The sequence below is a fragment of the Homo sapiens genome, chromosome 5 (assembly GCF_000001405.40).
Source record: "Homo sapiens chromosome 5, GRCh38.p14 Primary Assembly".
NCBI classification, from domain to species: domain Eukaryota; kingdom Metazoa; phylum Chordata; class Mammalia; order Primates; family Hominidae; genus Homo; species Homo sapiens.
The window spans coordinates 38,523,373-38,550,148 of NC_000005.10; the positions used below are offsets into that span (position 1 = coordinate 38,523,373).

Consider the following 26,776-nt stretch of genomic DNA (forward strand, 5'->3'; position numbering starts at 1 on the left):
TCAGTTTCTTTAATGTCATAGGAAGAAAATCTATGTTCAAACTTACTAATTTTACGAGCTCCATACTCTCTTTACGTAGAACTTTAATTTCCCAGATAACATTTGAGCGGTGTGGAAAAACTGAACCCCTGTCGTTCCACTTTAGGTATAATGTAGAGGTTGAGAAATCAGCAGACAAATTCAAGATCTCTGGAGTATCTGGAATTAAGGCTTTAAAAAGAGGAAACAAAAGAGAAAACTTAGTAAAATAAGTAATGATTTTTCATACTGTAACTCCACTAATCAACTACTTATAAACTCTATTCCTTCTTGATCAAAAAATCAATAATCAAGATTTAAAAGGAAACTCTAGAACCCAGTAATAAGGACATGGACTGAGATGCCATATATGGAAAAGATAAAATGTCATGGATATTTCAAAGAAATGACTGGATCAAAGAAATGAAGGGTTGGTTCTAATGAGAAAGGGAAACGACTAATATTCTCTCAAATTTCTGAAAAAGGGGAACATATATATTATTTATTTGTAGAGGCAGCTCCCAATGCTTCATCAGCCAAATTTAAGAAAATTATTTATTAGCTGGCTGTTTCAAATCCACAGCACATTTTCTAATACAAACAGCAACTAGGTTTCCACAGTACTCTAGTGTCATTTAGTCAGGAACCTACAGGTAGGCAACATCAGAGAGAAGAAAACGAGTTTCCTCTGTATGGCTGTAGGGCAGCCCTAAGAAAATAACAAAATATAGAAAGCTTCCTTTGGTAAAGGCTTCTCTCTGTTTTCTCTGCAGCTGTCTCAGGCATCTCCTGGTGTCAAGAGTCTCTCGTGCTGGGGGATGTCACCCACTTGAGAAATGCTATGGGCATTACTGATTTTCAATACCATTAAACAGTAGCAGGATTGTCTCAGTGACTAAGGCATTGAGTTAAGAAGCCAGTGGTTACTGTGCAGAAGTAGCAGGATATAAGAAGTGTGTCAGAAAGGTTCCTTTATCAGTAGTATGCAACACAGACTGCGGGGGATTGAGACAGGGGATAAGGTGACCAATTAGGAGACCACTGGAGCAATCCTGGCTAGAGTGACAAGGATATAAACTAAGATGCCATCTATGGAAAAGATGTCATGGATATTTCAAAGAAATGACTACATCAAAGAAATAAACGGTTGGTTCTAATGAAAAAGGGAAACAACCAATATTCTCTCAAGTTTCTAGCTCAGAAAGCAGCAAGAGGAGCAAAAGGAATCGGGAATCACTGTGAAGAGACACAGAAGCCTGGCTATGGATGAGTAAGGGTCAGGGGAAGAAGACACCATGGAGTCAGAACGTGGATGCAGACTTAAAAGGAACTGATTGAGTGTAGTGGTAGAAAAGAGCATGAACACAAAGACATAAACCAGCCAAAGCTCCTTTTAGGGGCTGCCAATAGACAATTACATCTTCAAGGAGCCAAAAACACCAACATGAATCCAGAGAGGGAATCCTAGAAGCAGAAGGAAACCAGAGAAAATCCAGGATCATCGAAATAAAAACAAATAGTTGTTACCTGTGCCAAATAAAACAGTTTATAGAGGAAGACTGTGGAAAAACCACTGGCGAGGCTACTGTTAATATCTGAGAAAGAAGTTTAGGAGAACAGTGGGCTCTGAAGCTGCATTACAAAAGGTAAAAGAGAAAAAAATCCATGCTCAAAGGTTTGGGCATCTCCTAGGGAGAATCCAGGACACTAAAAAAGGTAGCAGGAAGAGTAATGTATCCTTGAAAATCATTAACTCTCCCTAAGGGCGGATAAATCATGGAAAATTTTGGACCAATGGAAAACAAAGAAGGTATGAGCATGTTCCATTCTATGAAATGTAGACTTTCTGGTTTGAGAATCAGAGAGACTTGGACTTTCTTCCATGTTTCCTCCTCAAATAACAGTAAAGTAAAGGTGAGTTAGAAGAAATCCATAGACTCACCCTTTCTTGCCTCATTTCTATCCTAGAAGCTCAAGGACCAATTACATATAGTCATGGTAAGCCCAAAACTGCAGGACAGTGCAGGGCTAGGGTAGCTGAATATGCTAAATAACAAAAAGGGCAGAACAAACCAATACACATTAATCTCGGAACTTAAAAATAGTTATTAAAAATAGGTTTAACTAAAATTTGGCCAATACAGTGTTCAACACTGGATTTATGTAAAGTGTTTAGGGCTGTACAGGACACAGAACATGTGGATTTACAGTCTAAACTACAGAGCAAAGTCAACAGTTACACAGCTGTATAAGGACAGTGGAGGATGCTTTAAAAAGAAGTTTTAAGTGGGCAGCTCCTTGTGGAAAAGGAAAAATGCAGACAAACGAGAGGCAAGAAGTTGATTTAGTGCCAGGACAGGGAAAGCTCAGGGTGCCAGTGTGACCAGAAAAGAGCAAGAGGCTTCCAAGAACACAGCTATTCTTTCAAATGATTCAGGATGTCACATGATGTAGTAACTTACAATTTATGAAACACGGGAGTATTTTACTAAGACAACGCTCATCTTTAAAATGCTTCCCTCCCTGAAAAGTCCACATAATTTACATTTTATTTAAATAGCAGTGGGCTACTCTTAAAAATACAAGTAATATCCAACATTTCAAGCTAAAGACAGTAATGGCCATAATTACAAGTACAAGGATTTTAAAAAGCCACTGCTCCCTTTCTTTTCTTTATAGCATATAGGGAAGTTTCCCCTAAGCTCCCATTAACTGCCATCTGCATTTCTTTGTGCTAAACAGACATGTGAGGACAATGTTAACTTGCTTTCTAGAAACTCAGATAGGGAAGAAATTTAATGAAAATCTTTTTTATTTTCTTCTAATGCTAATTCAGCTTTACCCATAATCTACGTGCTCCTGCTTCCTTAGGACATAAGAAGATAAGAGTATTCCCAGCTTTTTTTTACAGGACCCACATTCTGCTTCAGAATGACCCAAATTTTCAGGTGATTTTAAGAAATGCAGAAATTAAAAATCTTATGAAGAATTTTTCATGCTTACACATGGTAAGTACAAACTTTACTGTGTGTGTGTGTGTGTGTGTGTGTGTATATATATATATATAAAATCTTGTTTGCTTTATATAATTTAGAAAGCATCTTTAGATCCACAGACACTTAATTTTCATACTTTTATTTAGTAGCAAATTGTCAAGAGATCCAGATCCTCTAAAGGACAGCTATACATGCATTGCAGAGCTTCTCTTGCACACAGTAGGTGCTCAAAGATTTGCTGATGTATCCATCTCCTCCGTTCCTTACACTCACCTAATTTGCTTTTCAATTTTCTTATCCCAATACTGTTATTCTAATCATGATCAGGACCATTATTATTTATAATGCTACCAATACATTACATGATATGTAAAACACAATGAACTATTAATCGACTGAGTCTCCTACAGTCTGTCTTGATTTGCCTTTCTGATTCTAATACTGTCATTTTTCAGTAGCTTCCCAGATAAGACTACACCCTAGAGCAAGGGGCATCTGAGAAATTCTGGAAGGTACGCAGGAGTCAAGGGGGCTAAAGAAAGAGTATGGAACTGAGGGAAGGAGCCTGAATTCTGGGCTATTTTGACTGGCCAGAAGAAAAGTTTGCTTCCTTCTGATCTTGGCTACCATCTACAATTCATAGGGAGGTTGCTGAGTGAATTAAAAGTAATAGCATAACACATGAAATTCAAAAAACTAGAAAGCACCACAATACTAACAAGTGACACTTGACTTACTTTAAAATTGAGTTTGTTTTCAAATACTTACAAACGTTTTGTTCATTTAGTGTGAATTTACTTGTAGAACTTCCAAAATCATGTAGAGAATTTATTGTTATTTCATAATCACCATGTGAAAGAGCTGGAATTTTAATACTGGTTTTCTCCAACTGATAACAAGAACGGGACCTGTAATAAGAAATTGAATTTTAATTAGCAAATAAAATTAATAGTATAATTTTCATAAAAATTTGGTTAACACAAAATACAATGGAAAATACTTTATGCCCTCTTTGTTGCAAAAACATGATAGGTTGTACCGCATTTTAAGACTGAAAAAACAGATTGATAGTAACTTTACCAATGTGGGGGTAGGAAAAACAACCTCATTGTACCAAAAGTAGAATAAGCATAGATGACTCCAAACAGCTGGAGTTTTTGCATGCCTTTCAAAATCCCACCTCAACCTTCCCTTTGTAGGCTGACTTCCACTACTCACACTCCACCCCTTCACTGAGGGACCAGTGCATCACAGCGCTCCTCATGCTAGGATGATGTTCAACGGATGCTGATGAAGGAAATGAAACTGGCAACTCCCCTGCTCCTCTGCCTTGGCTCATGGTTTCTTCTTAACAGAACTTCCTCTTCAGTTCTGTTTTCAAAATGCTTCCAGTTCCCCTGGTATCTCTTAGGCAAAATGATATTTTCCTCTCTTGTTCCACAGCCCTTGATATCTCTCCAGAGCATGCTTATATTCCTTATACTGTTGTTCATATATGTTTCAAACTTCTTATACAAATGTTTACTTTACTGAAAGGACTTTCCATGCCTCTTGCATTCCTGCCCCCACCAACTACCCAGCCCCAGCCTTAGGGCTGGGTGCTTAGGACTCTGGACTTGAATGGGTCCAGCTCATCTCCTTCTAAACCTCTCACATGGTGAGGCTTCTTTAGGCATCAGCAATGCAAAAACACCTGAATTCTCCAAATCACGCCATCTCATACATTCAAGCCATTGTACTCAATATTCTTTCAGGGTAGAATGTCCTCCTATTCCTTTTCTGCTGAGAAAACTGACTGTGCCTACTCCAGAATTACACCTCCTCTGACAGCCTTTCTAGACATTCATACTCCTAGTGTCCACTCCCTTGCACAAAAACCACAGCCTTGCTACTATTTGTTTATTGTGACCTCCCAGGGGAGCAGGGGGCCAGAACTAACTTCCTCTCTGTTTGGCCTGTGGTGGGCATGTGTGCTCTTCAGCAAACTTTTCAGGCTCCCCCTTCTGGACTCACACTAAGACCGTCCTTCCCTGCCTCTCTGAAGCAAGGTATGGCCATGTGGCTTTATTTGGTGGCAGAAATCTGAGTGACAGTCTTATCTACCAGATCTGCACTGAAAGCCACTGCAGACTCTGTCCCCTCTTCTCACCTTGCCATCACACCTCATAATGCTTGGTGCCCTACAGGAGAAAAATGAGGCAGAGGTCACGGCAGACTCTGCTGGACACAGAACACAAGCAGGAAATAACCCTTTAGTTTCACAAGCAATAAGGTAAGAACTGAGGGTCGTTTCTGCAATTCAACCTAGCTCATTGTGAATTAAAGTAAATTAAAATTACCTGTTTTCAATGCAAACTTCATAATCAGTACCACGGCCTGTTCCAGAGGGTGCTTTCCAAGAACAGTTCCACACTTGCAAATTGTTAGTTACACACTTCAAATCATGAGGAGCCCCTGGAGGAGACACACACACACACACACACACACACACAGACACACATAAACACAGAATATGCTGAATAAGTCAACTGCACTCTAAAAAGTCAACCATTTTCAGTTGTAAGCACAAGCATGTGTGTCTGCAGAGAGCCCATGTTTTTTTTTTTTTCAAAGAGATGATCCTGCAAGTCATGGGAGTGGACTGGTTTTCTATTTCTTTTTGCAGCTTTGGTTAAAAAAAAACAACTAAAGGGTAAACTGATGAAAGTGGGCCAGCTACTAGACCATTTTGGGGTTAGGCTGCTATCAAAAATTCCACTTCCAAGCAACTAAGACAAATTAAGGGAGTGAGTGGCTAGTCATGTAGATTCAATAATGGGACCAAGAGAGGGCTTGAGGGGATTCTAGCACCTCTTGAATCTTCAATAGCCCCACTTAAGGAAAAAACAAAAAACAAAAACAAAGAAGTCTTAAGTAAAAATGATGTGCCTTCCAAGTTTTTAAACAAAACTTTGAAACTCCTAGTCACCCCCACCTCATTGCTTGCTACCAGACTGCCCCCTTGGTAGAACTCCCATAACTAATCTTTAGGTTATTATGAAGTATATTAAATTTAAACAGTAATAAACTCATGAGTTCATTTGAGAAATATATTTTTGGTGTGGGCCTAAACAATTGAAAGTAACAATTCAGAAGATTACAATCCTACTAGTACTTACTCACATCTATAAAATAACATTACACCATGGAATATGTAAGCACTATGCAATGAAAAAAGTCACCCCGAAAAGAAAATGAGTAAAAAGAAGGGGGGTATAAGAGAGAGGGAAAGAGGGAAGAAAGGAGGGAAACAAGGGGAAAAGGCAACTATAGAATAAAAAAGGTAGTCCATCTCAGATTCTATAAATGTTTATGAAAAATGTTTTTGTTTTTGTACATGGTTGGTACGATATTCACTGTAGCAATAAATTATACGGCTATTTATATGACAGAAAAACAAATATTACATTAAAAGTACTCACATTATAAAGCAGCACTAATCATAATAATAAAGTAATTTAATGAATGACCTTGGAGAAAAGAGATCTATTTAAATATGGAAATAATATAAAAACTAAACCAACGGGCAGGAGGATGATAATTTCTTTATATAAATAAGCTATAAAATATCTACATAAACATTCTTAATATATTTAAGATGTAACATAATACATTTAAAAATATTTGGATTTCATTGATATGACATTCTAAAAAGGTAACATTATAGAGACAGAAAACAGTGTCTATGGAGACAAGGCAGTGCTGGCAGGGGATGGGCCTGGGAGGGCTGACTACAGAGGAGCCAGGAAGCTTTTGCAGTGCCGGGGCTGTTCCCTATCTTGATTGTGCTGGTGGTTACATAACTACATTCATTGTCAAAACTCACAGAACTGAATCTTAAAAAGGCAAATTTTATTGTATGTAAATTATATTTTAATTTTTCATGGTAAAATAATATTTTGATCTATCATTAAGGATCTTTTTAAAAGAAACTAAAAGTACATAGAAAAAAGATGACAAAAAAAATGAATTTTAACCAACAAAATCCTAAAGGGGTCAATAAAGCAACAAAATTGCTTCGTCATCAAAATGGAAATAAAACTGCAATCTGTTCATTCTCTGGAAGGCTGATGCACTTACCCTTTTTCTGGCTATTTACTTGATTCATTAGATATAGAAGAATAAATGTTGATAACAGCCACTGGAAATTTGAAGCAGTCCTCATTCTTTTATTGTCCACCATCCAGGATGGTCGTTTCAAACATACGTAAATATCCATCATCTGTGCAATGCAGTCAGTCCTAGGTTAGGAGAGGAATTCCAGATGGTGTTCAGATTGTTCTGAAGGCTCACCTTATACTGTGCACACAAACACTCAAATAGATTCTGACAGATTCTGAAACACTGTACATTTAGAGACTTTGGAGATACTCAAACTCAAGCTTCCCTGGCTTGTGGAGACATCAATAATTGGACACAGCTGTTGCTTTAGGTATCTACTACGAGGCCAATTTTCAAATGATGGGCTTCAAGTTAAAGATCATAACTATAATTATAAAATTACAACAAAATTATAAGCACATGGCTATCAACTCTACTCCAACTCTACTAAAATGTAGAAAAGCAGTGCATGAGACTGAATTTTTGACAATTTTAAGTGATACCTGGATTGATATTTTTATGTATTTTATTAGTACGTTAACTTGTGTTTAGTCATTTATGACAAGTTATATTAGTTTTGTCTCCCATTTACATGGTGTTGGAAAGTTTCTATTTCATACAAATTTAATAATTTAAAAAGAAAAAACTAGGGTAACAGTATGGAGATGTTGCACATTGGACATTTAGGGATCCCCCAGAGTAATGAAATTCCCATCCACCCTTCATCCTTTCTTCCTAGAGGGACACCACCAGCCAACAAGATCCTTATGATACACTGAAAACTCTTGTGTCAGACCTAAAATTGCCTCATTTATTACAACATTGGCACAGGGCACCAAAGATCACAAAACATATAAGCAAAGGCTAAAATATTAAAGAGAAATTTAGGATAACCAAAAGGAAAATAAAAAGTACTTCCAGAGAAAATGGGGATGATATAGGAAACAAGAAAACTTAAAAGAAAAAAAAAGAACCTAAAAAACTCTAAATAGTGTCCTCTGAGCAAACATGGCATAACTATAAAAAACTAGAGGATGCAATGAAAAAGGAATAACAGGAAATAAAAATAGCTCTTAGAAGTTAAACATATTGTCTGATATTAAAATTAAAATAAGAAAAAGATTGAGTAATCTTTCAGAACAAAATACAAAAAAAAATTGAAAATGTGGGAAAAGAGATAAGAAATGAAGACTTGATAAAGGAAAGGAGATCCAACACCTAAATAACTGGAGCCCATTGAGAGAATTCGAAAAAATATTTTTCTTAGTGAAAGCAGATGGCAAGATCTCTTCTCGGCTACTGTCAAGTACTGTCAAAAACCCAGGAAATGAATCCCAAATAGCTTAATTATAACCATAACATGCAAAAGGCGTGAGCACACATTTCAAAAGTGTTCTATTATTTTCTGGATGAATGAATAACTTCCTAGTCAATTCCAGGGTCATTGAGTTTACTTAGTAGAATGAAAATGTATTCACAAAATATCTAAAATGCCAGTTGCTGAATTTATAGAATTATACAACTGTACAAGAATAACTGAGTAATGGAGCCAAACATGACCCTAAAACTCAAACTCTGACTAAAATAATCATAAACCATATTCACTGACTGGCTAAACATTATCTTGAAATGAAACAGTCCCTCACTACAAGTTTCGATTATTCTAAAAAGAGACACAGGCCCTACAGCCATGCCAGGAAGAAGTGCAAGAAGGGGCGGAGGGAGGCAGCTGAGAAAGAGCTCTGGACCAGGTGCTTCCAGATTTAGATGCTAATCTTGGCTCCATTACTAATTAGTGGTATGGCTGAGGGTAAATCACTTAATCCCTCCCTGCTTCAGCCTCAACCATTGGAGCAGAGAGGCATGCTCTCTATTCAGGATCCACATAAGAGACTTCCCAAAGCGAAGCTGTAATATTCCATTCCTGCTGGCAGGGAACAGGCACGCAGACAGTAGCGAGCTCGCACAAAGCCTATGCCAGCAACAGCCACGGATCAAAGACTCTGCTGAGGAGGTCAGTAAGCAGGAGGAAGGCGATGCCCAGGGACAGAAGGATCAACGGCAGTGTCACTGAAGCCTGCTTAACTTAAGCAGGATAATAAAGAAGACTTTCTGGTGTGATACATTTACACAGAGAATTCTGGGCAAGTCTATTTGGGCAATACAATATTGTGCTTATAACACATCAGACTTCCCCACCAAGCAAAACTTTCAAATGGACTTACTGTGGGCCAGAACAATACATGAACAGAGCCTTCCGAAGTACTTTCAGAAAAAAAGTGATGCTTGTGAAGCTTTTCTCTGCTCACTCCTGATAGAAACATTGTCAGAATTCACTTTTTTCCCCTGTCAATGCCTTATTCCTTAGAGGAGCACAAATTTTTATACGATTTCAGGAGCTAACTTTCAAAATTAGGATGCAGCAACAGGGTGCAAATGCAAATATGCAGGGGCAAAGCAAGTAACAAACGTGTTCACAGCAGGTGCAAACTGCAGCCCCTCTGCCTAGCATAAAAGTGGCAGCCACCAGCCTCATTTTGCCAAATATGCTGATTTTTCCAGATGAGGTAGAAATCTGGCATTTTAAATGAAACACCAAAGTTTGTAAATGTGAGAAAATAATGCATATGTTTTACACATTCTAAAGGCCAGACAAAATATGCTCATGGGCAGTATCCTTCCTGCCCAAGGGTGACCAGTTTGTTTCCTATACTAATTATTTTAAAGGACTTAAAAAGTCAATAAACCCTTCTGCTAAAGAAAAGTAATCATGCAGAATAAATCTGTAAGACTGTTGAATGGAAAGAAAAATATCTGGTTCTATTTCTTTACACATATGCTGACTTCAATCTTAGACCATCATAAAGCACAGGCAGAACTTGAGCCTGGGGCCCCACATGGCAAAGTTCAGTCCTGTCAACACGGGCCCCTGAGCTTTTAAAGGCCTTGTTTGTGAAGATGAGTGTTCACACATGTACTTTGACTTGTATTTTTCTCAACCTTGAGAATTCTGGTTCCAGTGTACATGAGGTTTAGGGCTTTTCTGCCGAAGAAAATTAGAAAAAAAGAGTTGAGAAAAGTAAAGCTAAATACCAGAAACTAGTCCCAACACATTTTGTTGCTTATTTTGTCTCTGTTCCCCTGTCCCCCAACCCCTCTCTATATACATAAATATGGTGGCGGTGGTGGGGACAGGTAGGTAGAGACAGATCAGGAAACGTGACAGAGAGTGAGTTAGCATGTCCTGCTGGCACGAACCTAGCCTGGTGGCACTGAGGCCTCCAGCCTTGTGTGCAGAAGGAGGCCTCAGGCAACACCTGCACAGTCAGGGTGAAAGGAATCAAGACAGCCCAAAGCATCTTTTATCTCAAGAATCTATCTTTTTGCCATACAATAAGATGACTCCCTTGTCATTAATTCTCAAAAGAAATTAAATACTAAGCTGGAACACTCGAGGGAGAAAAGACTCTGAACTACTGTAAAGGTAAATAAGCCTACGAGTGGGTCACCCATCCACAGGAGTGGAGATGCTGGGAGTTGAGCAAAACAAGTGCAATCACACAGGCAGTAAACAGTACCCGCACTGCTCATTTGTATTCTTCCTAGTGTCCCTTTCTTTACTGTTTCCTAGGAGGAAACATCAACATTGTTTAAAAACTTTGACCAGCAACTATTTTCCTTATCCCATTTCCCTCCCACAAGATCTTAAATTCCTCCAGCATTAGCTCCCAGTGAAGAAGGCTTTTCAGGATCATAAACTCTGCAGTTTGGTAGACTCCATTGTGTTATTGAAGTGAAGTGTAGGGGCTCTTCAAGTTAAAAGAAAGAAATACTTACGAAAAACATACACTTGGCCAGACTGAGAAGTTCTATCTGGGAAGACTAGACTGCACAGGAAGGCATGAATAGCTTTTCAGAAAGAGGGAAGCTGGAACAAAGTGATGTTTCAAGGAGATTAACTAGGACATAGCTGCAGTAACAAAGATGTATGCAAAATTTATCAGTATATAGGTCTAGTCCTAGCAAAAATCTAGTCCTCAAAGAGCCCACATAACCCAGCACAAGGAATCTGAAAAGACTGATACCAAGATGCATCACTGAGAATATCAAAATATCTGTATCAAAGATGTTACAAGTTTCCAGGGAGTGGAGGCCATACACAAGGGCTCAGGAATAAGAACAACATCAGAATAAATTAGTCAAGTCAGGCCTCTGTGACTTGCGGTGTGAGTGTGGACAAACCCCCATTGTAACACAGGGATGGTGACAGCACCACCTCCAGAGCAGGTTACGGGTGTACATGAGACACTGGGTGTGTGACCCATAAATATTCTTGAGAAGGGGAGGAACACACCAGACTTTTTAGCAATAAAAGCTAAAAAGAACACCTTCCAAAATACAAGTGAAAATTATTTTCACACTTGAATTCTATACTCAAACTGTTGAGTGGATAACATATATTTTACAAAGACATGCAAAATGTCAAAAGATGTATCACCTTCCGTGTACCCATTCTCTGGAAGCTACTGCAGGACATGACTGACCAAAATGAGGTACAAAACAAAAAAGAACAAGAGAGAAAATATACAATCCATACAACTGGAGTCAGAACCTAGAAAGAGGCCTTGCACACTGCCTCTGCTGTGTGTCCGGGCCACACTAAAATGGCTGCCATTCCACAGCTGCCAGACCCTTCAGGACTCCTTAGGCCAGCACCCTTTTTCCCTTCTTGCTAATTTCATCTGCACCCTCCTCAAGTCAGCAGTGATGCTCCTAGCAGGAGGTATGTTTGTCATTGCCTCTGAGAGTCCACAGGTTAGATGCCATCTGCTGCTGCTTCCACAACACTTTAATTATATTTATGTCATGGGGTTGCACAATTCATGTTCCATAGGCCAAATCTTACCCGCCTCTTGATTTTGTAAATCTTCCTAGAACACAGCCACGCCCACTAGTTTAAGTATAACCTATGACTACTTTCCCATGACAATGTTAGAGCTGAGTGGCTAGGATAGAGATTGAATGGTCCACAAAGCCTAAAATATTTACTGCCTGGCCCTTTACAGAAAGAGTTTGCTGACTTCTGCTCTACTGCTTCACTTCCTAATCTTATAATTCTCCCTACAGACCGTCAGATCCTTGAGAGCAAACACATCCGAGTTCACTGTAACCCTCAGTGTCCAAGCAGTACCTGGCACAAAGCAGACACCAAAAACTCTAAGCCAGCTGGCTGAATGAATACCAAGGCACAAATTATTATATGCCCACACAGTATACTTTCATTGTTAGGCTGCATGCTAACCCAGGTACTGCCAACACTAGGAACCCAAGTTAAAGCTCTGGCTCCCAAACTGCACTGAGGCACCCCAAGACACCAAAGCAAACTGACAGAGCTATCACAGAATATCTAAGTTTTTGAAGGAAATAAAGTGACATCTGTCCAACACTCTGAAAACCGTTAGTTCAAGGTAGTCCACAGTTTCAATATTTGCTCATGCTACATTTTTTTGTGTGACATCGTATCTTTATCTTTGGTGAAGAGAGGGAGGGACTAGTAATTGCTGGGATAAAACACAAGTACTACCCAAACAAATCAATGTAGAAATGGAAATGAGGGTGCTGGTTTCCAAGATTTGGGAAGCTATGCAGTACTCAATAGCTTCACACATCTCATCAGTAATTAAGGTTTTTTAAGAATGAAATAAAAATACTACCATAGACCCTTCATATCCCAGGGTTCTGCAACCACAGATTCAACCAACCTTGGATTGAAAATATTCAGAAAACAAAACCAATAAAAGACAACAGTACAACAATAAAAAAACAGTAAAAAAAAAAGTACCGTTTAACAACTGCTTACATAGCATTAACACTGTATTAGGGATGATTTAAAGTAATCTAGAGATGATTTAAATCATATGAGAGGATAAGCACAGGTTATATACAAATACCACACCATTTTATATTAGGGACTTGGCATCCAAAGATTTTCACATCTGTGAAGGTCTTGGAACGTGCCCCCACAGAGATAGAGGGACAATTATATTTTTCCTTTTAAGTGGATACACGTTATTTCTTCAAACTGCTACTAAAGTGCTTGATCATAAATACTCATTAAATTGTTTGGACCCAGCTATTTCATAAAGAGAACTGTTAGGTAATTCTTTTGACTACAAGCATCATAAAAAACATTAACAAAACACGACGGGCACTGTGAACTATGACAGTCTGGGGACCTGAGTTAGAGGATAGCTTGGCTGCTTAGGGATTCCACTGTATCATACTTCAATATGCGTTCTGCATGTAGGAAAATAATATTGAAATTTAACATTTGCTACATTATAAAGACAAATCTATCACTGTGCATAATGCAGGATATTCATTCCCCAAAATAACTTTTTGGTCTATTATTCAAATAGAATAATCTTGTCAATTTTTTTTTCTTAATTCCTTTGCATTTCCTGGGAACTTTTAAAAATAGACTGTCTTCCAAAGTTTTTCTTTTTCAGGATCCTCCATGTCAGTTTTAGTAATCTCCATTGCAGTGTGGACTTCCCTGTTAATTCAAGAGCCAGTCCATTATGAACCTCAGCATGTCAAAACAAGTTTGAATACATCACTTCCATGCTTAAAATCCTCCAAAGGCTCTCCACTGTTTCAACACACAGTTCCAGTTCCATACTGTGGGCACAGCCCTTCGAGACGGCCATGAACCCCTTCCTCTCCATACCGCAGCAGCTCCCCAAACACTCCACATTCCCTTTGGTCTCAAGGCCTCTCCCAAAACCACTGCCTCCAATGGAGTGCCCCCTGCAATGTCTCCTATATTTCCCATTCTTCCATCTTTCGGGACTCACGCTATCATACTTTAGAGTAACATCTGACTACTCATATCCCACTTCAACTACGCTATAAGAGTGACTGGTATGTAACAGTCTTCAATAAATATAAAAGTCTACCAAACGAATGAACTTGTTTCTTCCCTTTTAACGATGAAGTGCTCTATTATTAAACAACCTGAAGAACATTCCTCCAATAAATCTTTAACATGCAGGAAAACATGACGAAAACTTATCTCTAAAAAGAAACAGGAACATCTCCATTTCCCAGTACTTCTCACTAATACCAAGGATTGTCTTTAAAAAAAAAAATTATTCTGTTGGGCCATAAATGGCATTTCTTTTTATTGCGTAATTAAAATATCCTTTCATATGTTTATTGATAATTTGCAATGCTTTATTTATAAGCTGTTTATTCTCTTTTGCTCCTTTTTCTAATTGGGCATTAATCATTTCCTTAATGATTGCTAAGAAAAAAAATCTTAATATGCATATTAACTCTGTTACATACATAGCAAATAGATTCCCCAATCGCTTTTACTTTCCAGTGAGTCTTTTGTTTAACTCTTACTAGATCAGATTTCTCTATTTTGTCCTTTGTGGTTTCTAACCATAAAGGTTTTTCTCATGCCGGGACTATGCAAATTGTCCTGATGTTGCCTTCAAGTACATTTAAGGTGTTTCACATTTTAAGCTTCATGCCATATAAAATTAATTTCAGTGTACAGTTGAGTCAAGGACCCACCTTTTCTGTTTCCCTCTAAGTGGTTACCACTTATCCCAACACCACTTATTAGGTAATCCATTCCTTCTCTCACTGACTTGAGATGCCATTCAGATTCTATTCCTACTTAGCTTCCTTGGTGGGACTCCTTAGCCTACTGCTCCTTCTATCCTTCACTTCCTGACTGAACAGTATTATCTGTGCTTGTGGCTATAACATCACTTGTATGCTAATTACTTCCAAATCCGTGTTCCCAGGATTGGCCTCTTCCCAGTTACAGATTAACCATTCACTAGACAATTTCTTGCTTACTTAGACAAATCCACTCAAGTAAGGTTCCTTCAGGCATGACAAAATATTCTGATGCTTCATATCCACTTGGATATTTCAGATTCCTCAAAAACTCCAGATGTACTGAATTAAGCTCACTTTCCCCTCCAAACCTGCTCTCTTGTAGCCCCGTCTTAGCCCATGGCACCAGTGTCTTCTGAGTAACCCTGACTCTTCCTTCTTCCTCACACCTCCCACCTGACTTGCCACTTTTACCTAAAACATGCCTTGACTCTTTCCCCATCCTCTCCCTCCAGTCCATTTCTACTGCTCTGGAGGCTGAGGCCCTCCTCACTCTCTGGCATACGTAATTTACAACCCTCTGGCAAGGGCCTCACACAATCCATCTTCCATAGTGAGTTGCAAAGCTTTAAATAGCATCTATATCACTAACCCTATCATTCTTTGAAGCTCCAGGCCAAATATCAGAAGGCTGGCCCACCAACAGCTCAGACAACCGTCCACACTAAAATTCACACGTCTATTCCGCAATCTTCTTCCACCTCCTCTACTCCTTTCCTAGGGGCATCTCTTCCTCTTGGTTCTCTCTTTTTTTTTTGAGACGGAGTCTCGCTCTGTCACCCAGGCTGGAGTGCAGTGGCGCGATCTCGGCTCACTGCAAGCTCTGCCTCCCGTGTTCACGCCATTCTCCTGCCTCAGCCTCCCGAGTAGCTGGGACTACAGGCGCCTGCCACTGTGCCTGGCTAATTTTTTGTATTTTTTAGGAGAGACGGGGTTTCACCGTGGTCTCGATCTCCTGACCTAGTGATCCGCCTGCCTCGGCCTCCCAAAGTGCTGGGATTACAGGTGTGAGCCACCGCGCCCGGCCTTCCTCTTGGTTCTCATGCTGACCACTATGTCCAACCAGACACAGTGCTCTGTTTATGCTCCCACTGGACATCAATTTCCCCTTTAGGCATTGTTCTTATCATACCAGGTATTATGGAAATCATTCTCTCCCTTCCTTCCACCCTCTTTTCCACTATAAGCTAAGATCAGAGCCTTATCTTTGTAAAATCCATAGTCTAGGAGTGCTTTATATCCACCACACGTACAAGATTTATTTGGTGACTGAAGCAAATCCATTCAAATAGAGTCCTCGGTGAGGACTTAAAATATTTTCATACCATTCAGTTATTTGTCTACATTCTGAAGAGTAAGCTGACAAACTTTATGCTTTTCAATGAACCTGTTTGCTATACAAAAATTCATTAATAAAAAGAATACTGGCTCAAATTGAAGTTTTTTTGGTTTTTTGGGGGGGGTAATACATAGAGTAAAACTATCCCTAAAGGCCTTTCTAAATTCTAGGAGGGGGAAAAATACTAATTACACAATAATTCTATCTAGGTAACAAGCTGGTTTTAGCTAACTCTACCATGTAAAATATAATTTATACATATATTTCAGATATTATGCATTATTTAAATACTGTTTATTAAGGAGCAGCCACTTTTCTAAGTTCTTTCAATGAAAAATTGGATTTAATTTTCATATCAATCCTATAAGGTCGGTATTATTCATATTATTTCCCTCTTTTTATAATAAGAAAACTGAGGCACAGAAAGGTCATACAGCTAGTAAGGAGCAAAGTGGGATCTGTAGCCAACTCTGACTGCAAATCTCAGCTCCAGGCCATTATACTAAACTGTAAAATGAGCAACTAAGCTGGAGTCAGGAGTCCTGGACTCCAGTCCCTATTCTACCACTGAATAGGTGACAGGTAGGGGCTCGCAGATAAATCACCTAACATCTCAGGTCTTAGCTCTCAAATTACACAACTAAGACCCAGCACCTGCTTTCCCTACTTTAAGTATCATAAGAAACTTACGGTTGTTTTGTTTTCAGAAAACCTTGTTTGTCACCTGCAGGAACAAACTGGTAGATGTACAATGTGATTAGAAATTCAGCTCTCCCCCGACCTGTCCGGTGAATACTGTTGCTGGGGGAAACACCACCTGCTCTACCAAGCACTTCCACTAATCACATTATAACAAAGATCAGACAGTCTATGTTCAGAGAACAAATGGAAAATAACTGCCATCTTACTGTTCTCCTTCCAACTCTAAGTACACTTTTAATTGGTTAAGCTCTCAACTCAGCAGGTGCAAACTCAAACATACTCCAAGAGCCAGCCAGATGAAATGACTGGAGCCATTCACATGACACAGGCTGGCGGGCAGCCCCTCGCCAGCTCCTTGTGTCTGTATTACACCACAGAGGACGAGCGGCCAGTACAGCCACAGATCTTCCAGTTTTTCCAAAAGGGCAGGAAATCCAGGTTGTTGCTTTTTTAGTTTTTTTTATTATTATTATTATGAAATATCCTTATTTTTAAATGCTGGCAATTAATTCCAATTAAAAAAAAAACACTATGTGGGCCAAACAAAATACATTTGCAAGCCAAATATAGTTCTTAGGGAGCCAGTTAACCTGTCACAAAATGTACTGGCATTAAAAAATTCTTGTCTTGCTGCTGAAATAATCTTAAAATATAAACTGTTTTAAGACCTAGATTTCAATGCACAGATGTTGACCAAAATGTGCCTGAATGCTTTCTTAACATTCTTTAGGGTCAGAATCTGAAGCTTTCCACTCCAAAATAATTCAAAATTTTTTTCTTTATGACATTATTTAACCCCAGATATCAAAATCTTAAGCATCATCTTAGATTATGCTTCTCAAAACAACAACTAAAATAAAGCCTTTAGCTCTGGCTTCAGACCACGGTCTACAACATCTAAGCAGGTGAAACATCTTCTATGTAAGAGTGGAACAGCATATGAAAAACATAACAGCACCTAAAATAACTGATATTTGGCAAAGCTATTTCAGAAAGGGGCATTCTTGTTAAGAAATAAAATCCTACAGACACAGAGGCCTGTGAGCTTGATAACTGATCCTGGATAAGATGATCAACAGTACTAAGAAAGGAATCCTAGAAAACCTCAGACCCATGCACGTCAGCCCATCCTTAGCCTCGACTTGATAAGCTGTTGTACTGGGAAAAGCAAGGATCAGAAACAACAAAATGTATCTCTGTTTGAACAAAATCTTTTCTAATACATGAAAGATGAGTATTAGCAAGGTAAAGAAATTCAAGCTGTGTAAACAGAGTGAAGAGGCTGCTTTTATCACATGATCAACCTTACTCAGAGTGCTAATTCATAGGATGATGTCAACCTGGACAAAAGTGATATAGACAGATATCAAAAACTTCTGTTTTTCTTGGTATCTTCATTAATGAGTTGCATGAAGATATAGGAATCATATCCAACTTATCTGTGGATGGAAAAAAATGGGCAAAATAGCAAATATACAGGGTGTAATAATAGGATTCTAATAAATAAATCCAATAAAATAAATTCAGCATGGATGTCAGGGTCCAAAATGAAATGATAATGTTGATAACAATAACACACAGAAAATGAACAAATACAGATGGGAGGAGATATGATTTAGCAGCAACACACGGGAAAACCACAAAAAAAGGTTAATAAGCTGGGCCAATATTGTAAGATGGCCATAAAAATATTAAGAAGGACTACTTTTTTGTCTTCTCACTTTATCAGACACATAATGTCTAAAATCGTGTCCTCCAGTGGTATTAAAATTGGAGGATTCATTTTAGTTTGAAAAATAAGTAGATAATCTAATATCAAAGTATTAACATGAAACATAAATTATGATTGTTGGTTTTATTACTGCCCAAGTCATCATAAATTCTTGCTCAATGTAAATCTTACTCTAGTAAATCCCATCTCACCATAAGTGCCAGCTACTACCTATTTCATAGAAGAAGTACCCACATGTGGGGACACTTGAACGTTTAGCAACTTGAGGGTAAGGCATCAATAAATCTGTGTTTGAGAGCTTTAAATAACAAATCCTTTTTTATTATGTAAGTTTAATCAGAAGCTTTATAAAAAGGACATGATAGAAGACGGTAGAGGCAGCATGATGCCTCTAGTTATGACTACCACTTGTGCCACTCCCTCAACTTTACCAGGTAAATAAGGACAAACCTCCAGAGTCGGGCCTAGTTGGGGCCTCTTTCCCTCAGCCTGCACAAAGGCAATGCTTCTAACCGGTCTCAGGACTTCTGATCCTCCCATAGCACAAATTCAGTTTTGTATGCCTAGAATCCTCCATGGCTCTCCCTGGCCTACAGGGAAAGGTCCCAAGTTGAACAGGGCATGAGGCTCTAGCTTTTTCATGCCAGCCTAAGTCCCCAGTGCCATCTCTGTGCACCTCCTCACAGTGGCCCCGTGCTTAAGTTCCACCAAATGTGTAAACATGTCAGGCTCTGTGGTGCCTCAGTGTTCCCGCACAGACAGATCATCTACCTGGAATGTCCTTCCCACTCCACTCTTCCTTGTCCCTTTAACAAATATCAACTCGTCCTTCAAATTTCAGTGCACACTGTTCCAAATCCAACCTTCCCCAGTGTTCTCAGGTCGTAATGCATATGCTTACATTACTACATATAATATTATATAGCAATGATTTATAAAACCATCTTTCTCACCAAACTGAGCACAATGAAGATTTTTTCCCTGGGAAAAAATATGTGCAACAAATATGACAAGTGTCACTATACTTAGGATATACAAATGGCTAAAAAAGATGCTAAAGCAAGATGAATACCTTCAATAGAAATAAAAATATGCAACTCACATACTAAGAAATATAAATAGGCAATAAACATGAAAATGACGTGAAACCATATTTCTACTGATTGGAAAAGGTTAATAAGAATGATACTAGATACTACCCTGGACAATGTGGAGAAATTGGAACCCAACCTGTAGTTGTGTAAAGCCACAGGCCACATGCTCCAGGGAGGCCCAAGCACTTAACCTGTACTCTCTCAACCCTCCAAAGAGGTTTGGTATTTTTCACATGGCATGCATGAGGAAATAGATTAAGTGACTTATCCAAAGTATTGTGGCTCGTAAGGAGCAAAGCCAGAATTTGAACCTAGACTTGCAATTATGACTCTAGAGTCTGAATTGTGAGCCATTATGTTGTCTTTCCAATTGAAAGCCTTTCACTCAATAACAGTAAGAATGATGAAGATAAACCAAGGCTACAAATATTTATCAAGAGCTCACTATGTGGTAGGCTCCATTCAAGCACTTCACATGCAACTTATGATCTACTTCTAGGAAATTCTCCTCAGGAGATATCAGACAAGATTTCAAAGGTGTGTTCACTAAATGCACTTATAATTTAAATGAAATAACCTGAATGTTCATCAATTTGGGATTGAGTAAAGAAGATGACATCTCTGCATGCATTCCAGCCCACTTCTCTCTTTCTGTACTCTTAATAATTTCTCAATCATGTTAATTAAAATCTATATGTGGTAATTTAAAAATTTATCTTACCCTTCCTTCCTCCCAGATTTATATGCCACTTTCTACCTGACTTTTCTCCAGATATACGTACAACTTGTCACCTGGAAGTCTCATAGGTGTCTTGAACTATGTCCAAAACTGATTGATTCATAACCCTCCTAAATTTGTTCTTCCCCTAACCTACACCCTCTCAAAATATAGCTAATTTATTCAAGCAAAAAAACCTAGCAGTCACCCTTGAGTCATTCCTTTCCTTCCCTATCGGCCTCTACCCACTCCCCATGTACTACCAGCTGCTACACCTTCAAATGCATGCCGAAGGAAAAAACACCCATCATCCTCATTGCCACCCCCAAATTAAGCGCACCAACCTCTTTTGCCTGAACTGCTATAAGAGCCTCTGAAGTGGTCCTCTTGTTTCCAGTCTTGCTCCCCACCAATCCACTCCGCACAAAGCAGAACCTTTCAAAAACAGCCATCAGATCATGTCACTCCCCAGTTTAAAACCGTCTAGTGGATTCTCCTTATAAGCACACCCCACTCTCTGTCCTGCATCCCCTTCCACACTCTTCACATACACGTCTCTCCTTTGGTCACCGGCTTCCAGTCTCCTCCAGGGCCTTCTTCCATTCCTCACATGCACCAAGCTTGATCCACCAAGGGCCCTGGCACTTGTCATTCCTATCATGGGGAATCACCTTCCCCTGACTCTTCTCATCATTCAAATTAACACTCACTTCCTCAGGAAGGCCTCTACTCATCACCTAGAAAGGGGGACAATTCCCTGCTTGCCTCCCTCCCCCAAATCCCGCACCACAACCACACACTGCTCACTCTTCCTTGTGGTATCCTATTTTATATCCTTCAGCGTACACATCAATACCTAGAGGTATCTATGCATACATAATTCCTGACTTATTGTCCCTCCCTCCCCACCTAGATGCTGAGCTCTATGAGTATCCAGTACTGAATATCCAGCATGACCTGAGAGTTCAGCATAGGTGGGGAGGAAGAGACAGAGAGCAGGCTCCTGTTCAGCACTCCTCTTCAGCGCTATAGCCCCCAAGAGCTAGAAAAACTGCCTGGCACACAAAAAGTGTGCAGTAAATATTTGTTAAGTAAACTGAATAATGGATGAATAAACTGAATCTAGTGTGCAGTTATGCACCATGGAAGATTATTAATATAAGTTAAAAAACTTAAATCATGGCCAGGCACAGTGGCTCATGCCTATAATCCCAGCACTTTGGGAGGCTGAAGCCTGTGGATCACCTGAGGTCAGGAGTTCAAGGCCAGCCTGGCCAATATGGTGAAATCCCATCTCTACTAAAAACACACAAATTAGCCGGGCGTGGTGGCGGACGCCTGTAGTCTCAGCCACTCAGGAGGCTGAGACAGGAGACTCACTTGAACCCGGGAGGCGGAGCTTGCAGTGAGCCAAGATCACGCCATTGCACTCCAGCCTGGGTGACAGACCAAGACTCCGTCTCAAAAAAAAAAAAAATTAAATCATGTTACAAGACAGAATGTACATACGGTTTAACATATTTGGAGATGTAGACATAAATATATGTGTGTGTGTGTGTATGTGTGTGTGTGTATACACATATATATATGCACAGAAATTAATCTAGAAGGATATGTAACAATGTTGCCTGGGGTTATCTCTGAATGGTGAAACTAAAATTTTTTTTTGTATTTTTACTTATATTCCCTGAGCTTCCTTAATTTTTATAAAATGAGCATTTTTACTTTTATAATTTTTAAAAAGCTACTTATGTTTAAAAAAATAACAATCCAGGGCAGGGCACGGTGGCTCACGCCTGTAATCCCAGCACTTTGGGAGGCCGAGGTGGGCGGATCACGAGGTCAGGAAATCAAGACCATCCTGGCTAACACAGTGAAACCCTGTGTCTACTAAAAATTCAAAAAATTCGCGGGGCATGGTGGCGGGCGCCTGTAGTCCCAGCTATGTGGGAGGCTGAGGCAGGAGAATGGCGTGAACCCGGGAGGTGGACCTTGCAGTGAGCCGAGATCACGCCACTGCACTCTAGCCTGGGTGACAGAGCGAGACTCCATCTCAAAAAAAAAGAAAAAAAAAAAAAAAAGAAAAAATCCAATGTAAAATCAAATAATGGATAAATCACAAAATAAAACCAGCTAATAAAATGAACAAATATTTTATTTCCTAGTATTCAAATAAATGTGGAGAAAATTCAACTGTATCAAAAGTCTTAAAGATATTTAGTTGTTTTGACTCAATAAACCAATTTTAAGGGAAGAATGTGAAATTTATTGGAGAAGGGGAAAAATCCAGCTTTATGCTTAAATATATTTACTGTAACTTTAATTACGAACTGGAAAAATTTAAAACAATGTAAATGCTCAAGTTATGGTTCATCCAGAGAATAAAATGTTACACAGTCATCAATACATACTAAAGAATTTTTAGCAACATGAAGAAACATATATACGCCATTACATGAAAAGATAAGGAACAAAACTGAATATCCAGTATGACCTGAACTATATGAAAAAAGTGAAGGAAAAGATGGGCAAAGAAATGTTACCTACCATAGTTTAAAACTGGCAGGCTTTGCCTTTAGATGTGTTTTGTTTGAACCATATACATAAAAAAAACAAAATTTAAAAACCCTTGAATTATTTGTCAATATTGCAAAATGGAGTGTTTAAAAATCAAAATTAAGAAGCTCTGGAAATACTCATTCCACATCTCACAGGATAACAATCAACTCCAGGTAAGAGCAGTTACTCCTTCCTAAGAACATGTGTTCTGGAGTTTTTCATAGTTCTCACCTTTCCTTACTGGTCTTCAAAACTGAGACAAGTTCCAGTTGCCATTTACCATCTAGATTGTCAATGTTGTCTATCTTGCAGTAGAGTTAAAGAGAAAGTGATATATTTCTGATTGTCTCTATATCAAAAGCATAAAGACAAAAGGCAGGACAGGCCCACTTCTGCCATTTATGTAACGTCCACTGTCCCTGTAAGCATTTGAGTTTTTGATCCCAGCAATGCAGCCTGTGGAATGTACTGAGTTCAGCACTCACAGCTTTGACTATTTGTGAGCTGAAAAAGTTTCAAAACAGTCATCTGTAATTTTATTGAAGCTGGCCTTCAGGAAAGGGTGAGTTGGCAAAGTCCTAAGTCTAGCCAGCGACCCAATGTCTACATGTCAACACAGCTTGGTTGCTCTCCAGTCACCATTACATACTCAGTGCAGCTCATACAGTGTTTCTTTGTGAAAAGTAAATCCCCAACACCCCCAAAAGAAAGCTAACTGCCAGTTCCAGTGGGGGCAAGGGGAGTAAAGTCCATGTAAGGCAATGGTATGGGGTAGAACAATGTGAGATAGAAGTAATATGTATCTATATGTACAATTTGTCACCTGCAAGTCTTGTCACCTCCAGTGTGACGAGATAGATAGAATACATATCTATATGCACAACTTGTCACCTGCAAGTCTCACACGTATCTTAAACTGTGTCCAAAAATGATTCTTGATTCATAACTCTCCTAAATTTGTTCTTCCCCTAACTTACACCCTCTCAAAATATGGCTAATTTATTAAAGCAAAAAAAGAAGTAAAATGGTGACTTTGCTGTTGGTTACACAACCTGTGATGTAACTTATCCTACCATGAATTCTACACAGGAACATGAAAACATGACTCAAGAAATTTTCTTTTTTTTATTTGGCCGTATGAGGAAAATAAAATGCAAGCTCAGTATTTGTCATAGATTCCAAGACGTATCTTTCACGACTACTGAGGGTCTACATGTTATCAAAATATTTAGAACAGTTGCCAACTTTAAAAAAAAAGTCCCTACATAAAACTAATTACAAAACTAATGTAGTTTTACACACTGTCAAATGGAGACATTATTTTTAAATATAGTCACGTGTGCTTAATGACAAGGATACAGTTCTGAGAGACGTGCTAGGCAATTTTGTTGTTGTGTGAACATCATAGAGTGTACTTACACAAACCTACATGGTATAGTCTACTAGACACCTAGGCTATATGGTATAATAGCCTATTGCTCCTAAGGCTATAAATCTGTGCACCGTTACTGTACTGAATACTGAAGGCAACTGTAACAGAACGGAAGTATTTGGGTATCTAAACATAAAAAAGGTACAGTAAAAATATAGTATCATAATCTAATGAGACCACCATCATATATATGGTCTGTTACTGACCTAAACATCTTTCTATGGTACACGACTATAAATGCTTTATTGCCACTCTCTCTCAGTAAGATCATGTGCTAGAATTTCTCAAGTGGGATAGCCATAAATTCCATGCATCCTAGATTTGCTAGGAGGAGCTCATTTTCAATAATTTTACAAAAGATAATCTCAAAAAGGCATGAGGTCATACTTAAGATAATGAAAGATTATCCTTCACAGAAGATATATAGTAGCAATTTTAAGCCTATTAACCTAGGATATTCTCACACTTGTGTAATGTAAGTCATCACTAAATCATTCATGAATGTCAACGAAGTGAAATAACCTAGTATGTTCCTCATATACAGTAGTTTGTTGAATAAGCAGGAGGCAATGTTTGTGTTCAGTAAGATGTAACATCACAACAAAATTCCTTTTAAAATCAGAGGAGAGAAAATGAGAACTACTTGATACTTAACTGCAGTAACTATCTATTTATTGAGTGGGCCTCCTGGCTTTGAACCACATTGGTCACTTCCATATGTCATTCACAGGGCAGAGACATGTGGGTCCAGGACACTGCTGCAAATCTGATGCCTACCTAGTGCCTGTTAAAGAAAAGGCACTCAACAGTGACTTGAATGACTCACATCCCACTCTAACACCTCTATAAAAGGAAAGAAAGATCAGACCCTGACCTTCAAAAATTTATACAGGACTATTCAAGACAACAACAGAAAAAGAAGAAAAATGCCTTCAATTCAAAATAAAATGTATTGGCAATGGAAGGCATTTCAGTTTTAAAGTAAATAAAACTCGACAAAGTATTTCCCAGTGACCAGAAGCAACAAAATAGTTTGTCAGAATGCCCTGAAATGCTTTCCGTAACAGTTTGATAAAACTTACATAACACAATTATTCTGCTTGGAAATTCTGTATTAAGAATAGAATACTGGCTTTAATCACCATATCAGATCAGTGAGATCAAGGTAACGTTTATTAAATACTACATGTGGGCACCGTGAGCTGGATATTATTATCCCCATTTCACAGATAAGGAAATACAAAACTTGCCCAAGTTCACACAACCAGTAGTAGCAAATGGGAAATGGGATCTGATCCAAGACTCTTCACCACACGGCATGCTTTATGTGTGGGAAATCCAGGAAAGTAAAAAGAATAACAGTCAATTGTAATTTCCACACATGAAAGACAGTATCACCTAACATTCGGCCTATAGTCTTCCTGGCATTTTACTACATAATATGTAGAAAATTGTACACACACACACACACACACACACACACACACACACTCCATAAGCAAAAACAAGGATCAACGTACCCATATGTTTTACAATCTGCTTTTTCAGTTTACAAATATTGAGTATCTTTCCACATCTATAAATATTCCCCTACATCACTGTTAAAGAAAGGGTATTCTATCACATGTATGCACCACAATTCATTTAATGAGTCCCCCTATTATTGAGCATTTAAGGTGTTTCTAGTTTATAACTATTATAAACAAACTTACAGGCTGGTTACAGTGGCTAACGCCTGTAATCCCAGCACTTTGGGAGGCCGAGGCAGGCGGATCACGAGGTCAGGAGATCGAGACCATCCTGGCTAACACGGTGAAACGCATCTCTACTAAAAATACAAAAAATTAGCCGGGCGTGGTAGCGGGTGCCCATAATCCCAGCTACTTGGGAGGCTGAGGCAGGAGAATGGTGTGAACCCAGGAGGCGGAGCTTGCAGTGAGCTGAGACTGCGCCACTGCACGCCAGCCAGGGCAACACAGCGAGACTCCGTTTCCACACACAAAAAAAAACTTACAAAAATTATTTTTGCAAATTAGAGGAGGGTTTTTTTAAATGTATTTTTTTTGTGGTGGTCACTAGAATCTGGAAGTGAGTTTTTTCCAAATTTCAGAGGACCTCCCTCCAGATTTTGGTACATCCCAGTAAGTAGGCTTCTTAAGAATCACTGCGAGGAGAAAGGTATCGACAGGAGTATGGTGCACAAATGCACTATAACCACTGCTAAAGACTGGTCACTGTACACATACTTTATCGTTTCTCCTTTGTTTACATTGCTAGCGGTGAACATGCCTGACTAAGGGACGGGGCACATTTTTGAGGCTTCTGATGAGTAATACAAAATTGCCCTCCTG

General features: G+C 38.9%; 1 protein-coding gene across 7 annotated transcripts in view; it reads right to left on the minus strand.

The window, feature by feature from the left end:
• Positions 1–26,776, minus strand: part of LIFR (LIF receptor subunit alpha) — a 133,736-nt gene that overhangs the window by 48,705 nt on the left and 58,255 nt on the right. For all 7 annotated transcript variants that reach the window (XM_017009463.2, NM_002310.6, XM_047417172.1 and 4 more), the window contains 4 exons: positions 7,134–7,294; positions 5,354–5,468; positions 3,783–3,922; positions 47–210 (listed from right to left, as the gene is read on the minus strand). In XM_017009463.2, coding sequence (XP_016864952.1) covers positions 47–210; positions 3,783–3,922; positions 5,354–5,468; positions 7,134–7,275 — 561 coding nt within the window. In that variant the 5' untranslated portion in view covers positions 7,276–7,294. The remainder of the gene's footprint in view (positions 1–46; positions 211–3,782; positions 3,923–5,353; positions 5,469–7,133; positions 7,295–26,776) is intronic.